Source organism: Homo sapiens, chromosome 2 (genome assembly GCF_000001405.40).
Source record: "Homo sapiens chromosome 2, GRCh38.p14 Primary Assembly".
Lineage (NCBI taxonomy): Eukaryota > Metazoa > Chordata > Mammalia > Primates > Hominidae > Homo > Homo sapiens.
The window spans coordinates 159,993,791-160,007,071 of NC_000002.12; the positions used below are offsets into that span (position 1 = coordinate 159,993,791).

At 35.9% G+C, this 13,281-nt stretch overlaps 1 protein-coding gene across 18 annotated transcripts in view; it reads right to left on the reverse strand.

The window, feature by feature from the left end:
- Window positions 1–13,281, reverse strand: part of PLA2R1 (phospholipase A2 receptor 1) — a 138,683-nt gene that overhangs the window by 69,858 nt on the left and 55,544 nt on the right. For 16 of the 18 annotated variants that reach the window (XR_922892.4, XR_007071491.1, XR_001738672.3 and 13 more), the window contains exon 11: window positions 11,862–12,031. Coding sequence is in view for 11 of the 18 variants with exons in the window: in XM_047443729.1 (XP_047299685.1) it covers window positions 11,862–12,031 (170 nt within the window). In the remaining 7 variants the exon portion in view is untranslated. Of the gene's footprint in view, window positions 1–10,905; window positions 11,055–11,861; window positions 12,032–13,281 lie in introns of those variants that run through there. The other 2 variants (XR_007071494.1, XR_007071493.1) reach the window with 2 other exon arrangements.

Genomic DNA, 13,281 nt, shown 5'->3' on the forward strand with positions numbered 1-13,281 from the left:
AAATATGTTTAAAACCCTTACTCCATAGTAATGCTAAAAAAAGAAAAACACCACTAATGGGTCACAGATGAAGGATGCTAATGCAAAAATAATCATTTTGAAAGCTAGTAAAGGGAAAGAACTAAGCATTTGTTCTGTGTTTCCTATAAAAATTGTACCACGGGGTAACAAAAATTGATTAAAAGGAATTAGCTTTTTATAGGACTATCCCAGCTATAAGTGAAGAAACCCCTAATGAGTCAATGGATCTAAGAATTGACCATCAAAGGCTGCTAATGTCACAAAAAGAGAAAAAAAAATGGGACATTATGTGCCTCTAGACAGAGCACACAACTACCTAGGAAGTGATCTTTCAAAAAAAAAAATAAAATCTGAATTTGATCAATCCTTTCATTCTTTTTAAAAATAAAAATGCGTATTTTATGAAAAAGAAAATAGAGTAACACATTAAACAATGTGATGTGAATACAATCAACAAAGCCCAGACTGTAGGAAAATTTATAAGACAAAACACATTTGCATTAACAAATAAAGGCAGGGGTGGAAATTGGGGAGGGGCAGGAAACACAGAGATGAAAACAGACTTTAGGAGATCTATCAACCAATTACAATGTGTGAACCTTCTTTGGATCTTGATTCAAACTAACTGTAAAATACATTATGTAATATTTATGAGCCATTTAGAAATTTGAGCATTAACTGAAGATTTATAATGATAGGCAATTATAGTTAATTACTTTAAGGGGTGATAATTGTATTATTATGTCTTTTAAAAAGGAGTCTTTATTTTTTGGAAATAATGCTGAAATGTTTATGGATGAAACAATATGATGTTGAGGATTTGTTATGAAAAAATATGGGAAAGGGGTGAGGATACAGATGAAAGAAGATTGGTCATGAAATGATAATTGCTGATGCTTGGTGATGTACCACAGTGGTTCTACTACTGGTAGATACCATCTGGTGGTAATACTATTTGATAAACTTAATACTAAGTTGAAAAAAAAATGGCGGAAAGGTGATTCCCTTCTGATTTGCTTTTATGCTAGTGAAATGCGTGACAGGAATGATAGGAGGGATGAGAGGGACTTTGGGTGGTTCTGAGTGTTCATGTAGGTTCGTCAATTGTAGCAAATGTACGACTGTGGTGTGGGATGTGGGGTGGGTGAATATTTTGCTGGTATGACATGAAGACAGAGTCCTGGCTGAGTTTATAAAAAGCTGTAGGCTTCCTGTTCAGTGGTCAATTCATGTAGTTAGTCTTTGCTGGATTAAGATTCTGATGTGGGGACCAAGCTAATGGATTCTTTTGTGACAGGCAGGAAAGAAATGTGATTTAGGTAGTGTCTCTGCAAGCTGCAATTTAAAAGAAAAAGGGAAACACAGGAGCTTTTATATTGCTATTTTCTTCAAAAAGATTTACATTTTCATCTTATTCAGAGACAATTTACTCAGCGTCAATCAGCTTGAGCAGCCAAACTGAACATCATGGCATTATTTTTGCTTTAGGGAAAAGAGAAAAAGAGCAGTGTCACTCAAATAAATTACAGCAGAAACTTATGAATGACAAGGAACTCTGCTTCAATTCCAGATTTTCGACATCTAAATATGCCCCAAGAAACTTAATATTAAAAACCAAAGATTTTCTCTACTCAAAATGTATTAATTTATTTTGACAGTTATAGACATTCCTAACAAAATTCCAAAGTATATAGAAATGATACCTAAACTTTTATTTTTTTGCAGTATAGTGTGACATGGAAGTTTATTACTCTCTTTATTTTAATAATATTCATAGATTTGTAGAACAAGGTCGTTCTGTTGAGCAAATTGTGATGTTACTTGTTTGGAGCTATGGAAAGTCACCAGTTTCCATACAAATTTCCTAAGCTGATGTTTATATACAAAAAAATCTAATTTGTCTTCATTTCACTTTGCATGCATCTTTCAAAAGTATAATTTTAAAATTTAGTAACAGAGAGTTTTAGGTTGACAGCAAAATTGAGCGCAAAATACAGAGAGTTCCCCTCTAACACCACTGCCCTCCAATCTCCTTCACTATAGACATCCTACACCACAGTGGTACATTTATTACCACTGATGAACCTACAAGGACACATCACAGTCACCCAAAGTCCCTCTTATCCCTTGCATCATCCCTGTCACTCATTTCACTTGTATAAAAGCAAATCTATCATCTATCTGTCATCTATCTATCTATCTCACCTATGTCTGAATATATTGCTGCTATTATTTTAAACATACTGTTATTTGTTGGATCAATTAAGACTAAGAAAAATAGAAGTTTTTATTTTACCTTCATTTATTCTCTGATGCTCCTTCTTTCTTTATATAGATCTGAGCTTCTATATCATTTTCCTTCTCTCTGAAGAACTTCTTTGAATATTTCGTGCAAGGTAGGTCTACTAGCAACAAATTTCCTGAATTTTTGTTTGATAAAAATCAGATAAAATCTGATAAAAATTCTCCTTCATTTTTAAAGGATACTTTCACAGAGTATAGAATCCTAGGTTGGAGGGCTTTTTTCTCTTAACACTTTAAATATTTCATGCTACTTTCTTCTTGCTTGGATGACTTCTGAAGAGCAGTCAGATATAATTCTAATCTTTGCTCCTCTAAAGATAAGGTGTTTTTCCCCTCTGGCTTCTTTCAAGATTTTGTCTTTATCTTTTATTTTCTGAAGTTCGGATACAATATGTCTACGTGTAGTTTTTCGTGCGTTCATCTTGGTTGGTGTTCTCAGAGTTTCCTGGATCTGTGGTTTGGTGTCTGATATTAACTTGGGGGAAATTCTCAGTTATTATTGCTTCAAATATTGCTTCTTTTCTTTTATTTCTTTCTTTTCCTTCTGATATTCCCATTACACAGTTTGAAGTTGTCCCACAGTTCTTGAATATTCTGTTCTGTTTCAGTCTTTTTCCTCTTTGTTTTTCAGTTTTGGAAGTTTGTATCATCATATACTCAAGCTCAGAGATTCTTTTCTCATCTGTGCCCAGTCTACTATAAGGTCAGCAAAAGCATTCTTCATTTCTGTTATGGTGTTTTTGATCTGTAGCATTTCTTTTTGTTTTTTTTCTTAGACTCTCCACCTCTTTGCTTACAGGATCCAGCTGTTCTTGCATGTTGTCTACTTTTTCCATTAAAGCCCTTAGCATATTAATCATAGTTTAAAAGAATTGCTTGTCTGGTAATTTCAACATTCCTGTCATAGCTGACTGGCTCTGATGCTTGTTCTGTCTCTTCAAACTGTGTTTCTTGCCTTTTAGCATGTCTTGTAATATTTTTGTTGAAAAGTGGATGTAATATATTGGGTAAAAGAAACTGCAGTAAACAGGCCTTTGTGATGGAATGGTAAGGTGTGAGAGGAGGGGAAGCGTTCTACAATTTTACCATTAGGTCTCAGCCTTTTGGTGAGCCTGTGTTCCTGGACTGCACCCTTGACCAGTGAATGCTTCTCAGTTATTTTTCCCTGCTTGGTGGGACAGGATGGCTAGAGAGCTGGAGCGGGGTATTTCCTTTCCATCACGTGAAAGGATAGAGCTGGCTGGAGTTGCAGATTTCCCTTCCTCCAGATAAGTTAGGCTCTGATAAAACTCCAGTAGCAGTCTCTGGTAAAATAGCCTTTCCTGAGGTGGGGCCTTGTTAAGAACAGAATGCTTTGCTATATTTCAAAATGGTTATTTTTCCTCTCCCTCTGCTGGAAGCATTAGGCAATTTTTCTCTGATATTTCACTGTGATAACCTGATAGATCACCTGGAGCTAGAACTCACAAAAGTGTGGGGGTCCCTTATGACTGAGTCCCCTACAGTTTTTAACCCTTAGAGTTGTCTGTGTTGAGCCTCCAGCAGTTTTATCAATGACAGTTCAGATGTTCCTCTCCCAGCACTGGTTCCTCTGGAGATTTCTGCTCATGGGTTTCTGATCCAGGAAGCTGTGATTCTCTGTATCTTTTTATTTCTCCAGTTTGGGGCAGCAGTGGTTTGCCTTGCGATGGATCTAAGAAGAGTTGTTGATTTTTCAGTTTGTTCAGCTCTTTACTCATTAGGATGGTGTAACTTCTAAACTTCTTATATGCTCGTCTGGGAACTGGAAGTCTTCAAAAGTACAGGGTTTTAAACCATGTATTTAACAGAGAGAATGTAAACTGACTTTCTTTGATCTCTCTCTTTTTTCTTTTTCTAATATCAGGAGGTCTAAAGGAATTTTTTTTAAAAACATTTAACACTAGCTCCTAAGTGTTGGGGAAATGTATGTGTATAGGCCACAATCATACCTTCCTTTAAAACTCTGTGGTTTCCCAGGGTGCTCACATTGGTGGCTGGTCCAGCACAGAATAGGTCCTGCATCTTAGAATGTATGGGTGAGGAACCCTAATAGGTTAGCAATGTCACTATCTGTAGCTTTAGGTAAAATCCTGCAAATTATTTCTCTGCAATAAGAAAGTCTAATATTTATTAAGTATTTACAATGCAGTAGCAACTATGTAATATTTCTTTTAATCCTCACAACAATCCTGTGAGGTAGATACAATTACTGTCCTTATTTTAAAGAAGAGAAAACTGAGATATGAAGAGATTAAATAACTTCCCTGAGATCATAGAGCTGGAATTTGAACTTTAGTTCAACTCAGTAGTGGGTAGGTACTCTTTATGCATATGTTATCCTGCAGTGCAGTCTCTTATATCTGTTTGTATCACCCTACATAATAACCTCAATGAAGAACACTTCCGATCCTAATATTTTTCGATCCAAAACCTCTAGTGACTTCCTATACCTAGAGAAGAAGTGAAAACTCTTTAGCTTGTAATATTAAGCTGTAGTTTCAATGTCCTACTCTGGCCTTATCTTTTACAACTCTTTTGCATGTATCTTAATCTCTAATTACACAGTGCTCCTAAAATTTCTCAAAGTTGCCCCATATATTTCCTCCTGCTGAGAAAATTCTTTTTACTTCTTTAACCACTAAATCCTACTATATTTCAGACATTTTCAATCCCAGGTGAAAGGCCACTTCCTCTTGAACTTTTATGATAACTTCAATGGGAATTAATCCTCCCTTCATTTAACTGTTAGAGTTCTTTATTTTATACTTCTTACAACACTCACCACACATTTTCCTGTTGCCATGGTTTGAATGTAATATATCCCTCCAAAACGCATATGTGATAGTATTAAGAGGCAGGGCCTTCTGGGAAGTAATAAAGTCATGAGTGCTCCATCCTCATGAATGGGATTGGTGCTTTTATAAAAGAGGCTGAGGGAGTGTCCTAGTCTTGTTTTGCTCTTTTGCCTTTCCACCATGTGAGGGCGCTGCAAGAAGGCCTTCAGCAGACACTGAATCTGCTAGCACCTTAATCTTGGACTTCCCAGCCTCTAGAACTGTGAGAAATAAATTTCTGTTATTTATAAATTACCCAATATGTGATATTTTGTTATAGTAACAGGAATGACTAAGAATCTATATATGAGTTATTTATTGTATTTGCTGTCACCACTCCCAGATTATAGCAACATGAAGGCATGCACATTACGTAATTTTTTTTTTTTTTTTTTTTTTTTTTTTTTTTTTTGAGACGGAGTCTCGCTCTGTCGCCCAGGCTGGAGTGCAGTGGCGGGATCTCGGCTCACTGCAAGCTCCGCCTCCCGGGTTCACGCCATTCTCCTGCCTCAGCCTCCCAAGTAGCTGGGACTACAGGCGCCCGCCACTACGCCCGGCTAATTTTTTGTATTTTTAGTAGAGACGGGGTTTCACCGTTCTAGCCGGGATGGTCTCGATCTCCTGACCTCGTGATCCGCCCGCCTCGGCCTCCCAAAGTGCTGGGATTACAGGCGTGAGCCACCACGCCCGGCCTACGTAATTTTTAAATGTCCCTTGTCATACAAATGCCTTGTAAAAGTTCATTAAATGAATGGCTTTAATTATGCAATAGGGTTATAGAAAGAAAAAATTTTTAAAAACACAGAGAGAGACATCTCAAAGATTGAGCAGTAGACTGAATACATGTGCTTATCTCTTCTCTATCCTAAAATCTCATGTGTTAAAATAAATGGTGCTATGAGAAATAACCAGCAGATTAGGTACCCTGAAAGATTCTTTTGGTCAAACTAGTTGAAATGCTGGATAAAACATTTTGAAAACATCTTTATAAATGTATGGCTGAGCTGGCACAAAATAAACAAATCTATAGAGCTTGCAAATGAAGTAAAAGTATGAACCATGGTAGCCAAACTACCTTCCTAGTGGGATTTACCCTAAAGGTTTCTTTCCAATTCTGGAGACCTTGAGCATCTGCTTTGATAGTTGCATGGAGATTTTAAGGGAAAGGAGATGAAGCCTAAGAGATATACAAAATGAAAAGTCTAACAGAAGAAACCTGCATAAAATAGAATCCCAAATGGCCACTTTTGGTAAGCGTACATGAGAATATATTCACTCAGCTGTTTGTAAGGAAACTTGTCTCTGTCAATCTTGGGAGTGAATAATAAGAAAAGAAATAACTTTCTAAAGAATTTATAACCACAACCCAAACTTCATGCAGGTTAGTCGTTAGTCATCGAATTCATGCTACCTATGTGTTCAAGAAAACCTCAGTCAGAGCTTTTAAAGCAGTCCTTAGTTGGTAGTGCCTCAAACTGAGTGGTGGAAACAAATGCTAATTTTCACTGGAGGAGCCCAACTTCACCCTGGGGGTGAGAGAACTCCCATAAATAAAGTACAAAGAAAAATCAGTAGTTCTAGGCAAAACCCACAAAATGAAAGAGATGAGATCCAGAAACAGACCCATACAACTTCAGGTATGAGATTATTAGAAACCAAATACAAAATAACTCGGATACATTTAAGGAAATGAAAGAGAATCTTTAAAATATGAGTAGGAAACAAGTGACTACAAAGAACCACAAACCAAATTTAAAACAGAAATAGACTTTCTAGAAATGAAATAAATATAGTATCTAACACTGAAAACTAAAAAATAAAATTTAATTAGATCTGGCTGAAGAGAGAATCAATGAATTGAAATAATTCATGACTTTATTTAAAATGCATCCTTGAGAGACACAGAGGTAGAAAATATTTTAAAAATATTAACAAACATGGAGGAGAGGCTGAGTAATTGGAATGATAAAAGGAAATATTAGAATGAATGGGGAGAGGCAGTATTTGAAGAGATAATGCTTGAAAAATTTCCAGAGTTGTGTAAAACCAACCATCTTCAGGTTGCGGGAGTCTAATGAAAAGGATATGAAACTGAAGGTGTTCCAGATCACAGAAGGAATGGTACACTAGTATATGAATACATCTAAACAAATATTCATTGCAAAGATAACAACAACAAAATCATGGCTAACAGAAATGAAGCAGTTCAGAATTTTCAAAACTAGACAGCAACAGCAAATTATAATCCTTTTAAAGATGAATAACTTTGATATTGTTGATTTTGTTAAGAATGCATGTTGAATAGCTAGTGTAACAAATAAAAAAATAGATTTAGATAATACAATTTTCAGATAAGTAAAGGGGAAAGAATGAAATGAGAAAAGAAGAAAAAGATACATTCAAAAGATGGCAAGAAAGAAGAGAAAACATGACTAAAAAATGCAGGATAAATGGAAAGGACATAATAAAATGGAAGAAATAAATCCAATTCTATACATAATCACAAAAAATATAAGTAAACCAAACTATACAGTTAAGGACAAAGAATGTGTGAATAGAGTTTTAAAAATTTAGTTATATGCTGTTTATAAGTGATACATTAACTCTAAGAACACAAAAACATTCAAAGTTAGAAAAAAATTTAAAAAATGTACTAGGCCAATACTAATTTTTAAAAAGTTACTGTAGCTACATTCATGGACAAATTAACTCTAAGGAGAAAATAATTTTGAAAGAACAAGAGGATCACTTGGGATACTACTATACCGATTTTGACACCACAGGTGGGATATCACAATTCTAAACTTGTATGTTCCTAATAAAACAGCCTAAAAAGTATGTAATACAAAAATTCGACAGAACTACAGGGAGAAGTTTACACATCTACCATCATAGTGGGAGGTATCAAACACTCTCAATAATTGATTGATCACGTGGGCAAAAAATATTGAGGCTATAGATGATCTGAACAACACATTTAACATAATCTGTTGACATAGATGAAGCATTTCAGGTAGCAAAAGCAGAATATACAATCTTTTCAAGTACATATGGGATATATATATATAAAAAGAACACATGCAAGGCCATAATACCAACTTTGTATTTGAAAGGACAGGCACCAAACAAACCGTATTTCTTGACCACAGTGCAATTAAATAAGGTATTGACAACAAAAGGAACTAGAAACACCTGCATTTTGGGAAATTAAAAAAAATCTTCTAAATAATTTATGGGTTGAAATCATATTCATATTGGAAATTGGAATGTATTCTAAATTGAAAAATTATAAAACTCTACTAAATCTTGTGAAATACAACTCAAGCAGCACTTGGAAGGAAGTAGGAAGCCTCAGTAGTCTTATAAGCATTACAGAAATTGAATTAGTGGTTTTTAAATTTCCTATATAAAACATAAGGCAAATTCTAATAAATGTTTACTGTATATATAGTTCTGTAGAGAATAAAAGTGAACACTCTCCAATTCATTCTATGAAACTTAGCATAATCATGAAACCAAAGCTGTATACAAATGAAGAAATGTGGACTAGTTTTCCCTATGAAAAAAGGTTGCTAAAATCATAAACCTACCACTCAAAGGTTAGTTTGTGTACCTGCAACATAGGCAGCACCTAGGAGCTTTTTAAAAAATGCGGATTCTTGGACTTTACCCCAGATCTACTGAATCAGAATTTTAACTTCATCAAAATCTACAGGATATTCTTATGTACATTATAGTAGGTGAAGCTTTGTACTAGCAAACTAAACCCAGAGATGTATTAAAATACATATCACTAAGTTAAGTTTACCCAACAGTACAAAGCTGGTTTACTACTGTAAAGCAATTTGTCATATTAAGAGAGTAAAGGAGAAAACCTTAGGATTGTCTTAGTAGATTCAGAGTGTTGAGTAAAATTTAAAATCTGTTAATAATTTTAAAAAAGAGCTCCAAGAAAACTAAGAATAATAGAAATTATATTCTTGTATTACTGCTCTCTTTTCAGCTACATTGATTCTATTTTTTCTATTTCTTTTTCAATACCACACTGCTTGAATTATGTTAGTGCCATATTGGCAGGGAAACAGAAAATGAGAATGTAGGTTATGTTTATTATGGTATTTCGAATCAGTAGACGAAAGGGTGAACTTACTATATAGTGTTGAAATTGGTTACTATTTAGAAAAATTAAAATGAGCTATCTCCTAGAACATACTTTTAAAATCTCAGATCAATCAAAATTATACATTTAAAAAGCCAAACTATAAAAATATAAGGTTATATTTTTATAATCTTTGGTTGAGCAAAGCCTTTAGAAAATATAAAAATCTACAAAGCTAAAATGAAAAATATAAACTTTTTTACTACAAAAAGTTTAACATTTATGTGTGACAAAACATACCATAGAAAAATTAAAAGGCAAATAGCAAACATGTAGAGTTTATATTTAGAATATAATGAAATTTCCACTAAGTAATGAGAAAATAGAAAGTGTCCAAAATAAAAATAGAAAGTGATCAAATTATGTGACCATGTAGTTGAAAAACAAAACAAAATGTATAGAACAAATATGAAAAATTGCTCAAATAACTAAATGAAAAGGTAGACATTAAAAGAATAGTAAAACTTTTTTTATTCTATCAAATTGGCAAAAATGTAAAAGGTTGTTACATTCAGTATTGACAAAAATGTGGGAAAGCTGCCACTCTCAAATTTTGTTAGATGAACTTGTAAACTGATAATGCCTCAGTAAGATGTACACTTTTAGGCCAACATGCTCATAGTTATGCACAGCGACATCAACATAGAGATATTTGTTGTAACACTTTTGTAGCAGAAATGAAAATGAATTTCACCCAATGTCCTTCAACAGGGTCATGGCAAAGCAAATTATGAGTCCTACATACTATGAAATTCTATGTAGCTGTTTCAAATGTCGACTAATAAATATTGATGTGGAAAGTTCTCTAAGACAGATTGCTAAGTGAAAAAAATCAAATAACAGAAACATGCAATCCTTATATCCATTTAAAAAGTACATATGCATAAATGTATTTAAATGCAATGCATAGACAAACACCAGCAGGATCATACCAAACAGTTAACAGTGGTTGTTTCTGAAAAGGGAAATGTATTGATGTTGGGAAGGTGAAGAGAAAGATGTAACGGAGTACTTCCACATTTTACTTAGCACACTTCTCTATAATTAGAGCATCTACATAATTTACCATCCAAGCCAGAAAAATTTGGAGTAAAAATACCTGCTGTTAATTGCTCTGGGACACCAGACATAAATTAGAACTGTTCTGGGCAAATGAGGTATATGGTCACATTATCTATAGTAAGAATATATTCATGATTTCATCGTTGAATTTTAAAAATCGGTGGAGCTTTGCCAACCACTGTCTAGAGTTGGGATTAGCAAACCACCTTGGACTGGACTTTTGTAATTATGAGAAACAAGGCTTGTGTGGCCACTTTTATATTTTAGTGTGAGGCCACACTAAAGGGGAGATATACCTCCCCCTGTGGCTTAGCAAACACTTTCCTTACCTTGGTATATAGAGCTCTGAGGATGGAATAGACCAATTTGTATAAAGAGCTCCGGGCCTTCAGGGAGGGAAGAGCCTGGGGCCCCTAAGCCATTTCCTCTAGATACAAACTTAGTAACTCTTTGCTGTTGTCTCTGGCACAGCCCTGATGGAGATACAGGCAAGCAAGAACTCACCCTGAAGTAGAAGGGCTGTTGGGTCTAGGCTGTCAACCTCAGCTTAATACAAGGGCCTGAAGCTTGTTCCACAGAGACTGGTTCTAGTGTAGGCTGTGGCGGAAGACATCAGCTTCTCTGGTACTGACCAACCTGGCACAGTTTCATGCCTTGGGATTCAGAGCTGAACACCTGAGGATGAACTAGTAGAGCTGTTAACGCTGGAATCCTGGCTAAGGTACCCCAGGCAGTGACTGTGAACTGATTGGATGTACCCATATGTGCCCATCCACCGTACTTTGAAGTTTAACTGACCATTCTGAACTGAGTAAGCACTTGAGATTCTTAGACAGTGGGGGGTGCAGGTGGGGAGAAAGACATTAGGAGGGAGAAGCTGGACTTGCTGCTAATAAAGGCAGTGGTGGTCCTGAGCGATGAATTTATACCTTTAACATGTCAAATGACTCATACGGATTATACTTTTAAAAATGACCATTGGGCCAGGCAATTTGGCTCATGTCTATAATCCCAGCACTTTGGGAGGCCAAGGTGGGAGGATTGCTTGAGCCCAGGAGTTCAATATCAGTCTGTCTCTACAGAAAATACAAAAATTAGCTGGGTGTGGTGGCGCATGCCTGTGGTCCCAGCTACTGGGGAGGCTGAGGTGGGAGAATCACTTGAGCCCAGGAGGTCAAGGCTGCAGTGAACCGAGATTGCACCACTGCACTCCAGGCTGGGTGACAGAGCGAGACCTCGTCTCAAAACAAACAAACAAACAAACAAACAAACAAACAAATAAAATAAATAAAAACAAAGATCAGCCATATGTCACCCCCTGTTAACCTGTGTTGATCCTTGTAATTGATTTAGGCATTAAGAAAACATTAAGAAAGAATCAAAGGAGGTGGGCCAAGGGGTGGAAGGAATTTGGAGTAAAGAAAACAGGGAGGGTTGGTGATGCAGCACACTCTACTCACGCGGCTGGTGTGTGTTCCAGTGTGTGTACTGCACCGGCTCGGGTTTCTGCCCTACTGGCTTCCAAGTGTATTCTCCCGTATCATTTTGGTCCTGAAGAGCTATCCAAAAATAACTGTCCTTCATTTTTACCACACTACTGATCAAACTGGTAATAAAAGCCTGTTCAAACCTTAAAAGGGGAAAAAAGAAGTGGTTACATTAAGTTTCTGGGCAATAAAAAAATGTCATTAAAGCATAATGAAGTGCACAGAATGGCCCCAGAGTAAGCATTTCTCATCAATTCTTTAGAACATGGAACAGGAAAACACCCAAAGACCCTGAACATTACTAATAAATGCCGAATGTCAGTGCAATTCCCAGAACTATATGAGTGAGCAGAATCTGACTCTTGCATATGGGGCTTAATTCTTGCACAGAATAGAGAGTCCAGCTCCAGTTTCAAAGCATAGGTGGTAAAGTTCACATGGCCAGCAATGCATTTCTTGGAGTACGATGTGGCCTATTTTGTAATTAGGCCACACACCACACACACCATGCCACAATATGCACGGGGTAAAGGTGGGCAGGAGGGAGGAGGAAAGATATTATGCTTTTCTGAATGAGCATTTACTAATACAGAGTTCACACACACCCACCTACCTCACTTGCCTGGTGAGAAAGAAACAGAAATTAAAGTAGCAATTTTATGTCTCCCAAATCAGTGTGTTCATAGGCAGAGGTAGGTCTCAGCTTATTCAAATGTGTTTAAATCTGCATGTTCACTGAAGAAAAATGTGAAAGCCTAGGAACTAATCTAAGGCCGTACATCCACTAATATACTTCCCAAACAGCTGAATGAATTACTGTTCAATGATTGGTGGCAGTGCCCCCTTTCCAGTATGAATGCATCAAAAGCAGAATATAGAAGACTCACATACATGCTTCCACATGCACACCTACTAAGAAAAACATGACTATTAAAATTTAACTAGCATTGAACCTTTCAGCTAAGTTGAAACTATCTTGAGAAAGCTATTTTTAGAACATACAAAGTTAGAAGAAGCACATTTGAAACAGTGGCGACTTCTGGGCAGACCTGCTGAGTCAATGGAAAAGGAAAGGCTGAAGCCATTACCCAGGAAACCTAAGGAGAAAGCAAATTAGATCTTTTCATTCAATTTTGGTGGCTTTTTTCGTTACTGTGCATCCTTAACTTGCTAAGGGAAGCAAAAGCAATGAGGTCATTTATGAATAGAAGAGTCTCAAAGGAAATAGGAGATAAAAAGAGAAAAGAATAAAAAGAAGTAAAAATTTTAAGTGCCTTACAGATATTATTAGCAACATTTAGAGATCTTAGGTATTTATGGTACTCATCTTTGCAGGGGATATGGATTTTCGTCATACTTTAGTAAATATTTTCTGCAGATACTCTATTAATAA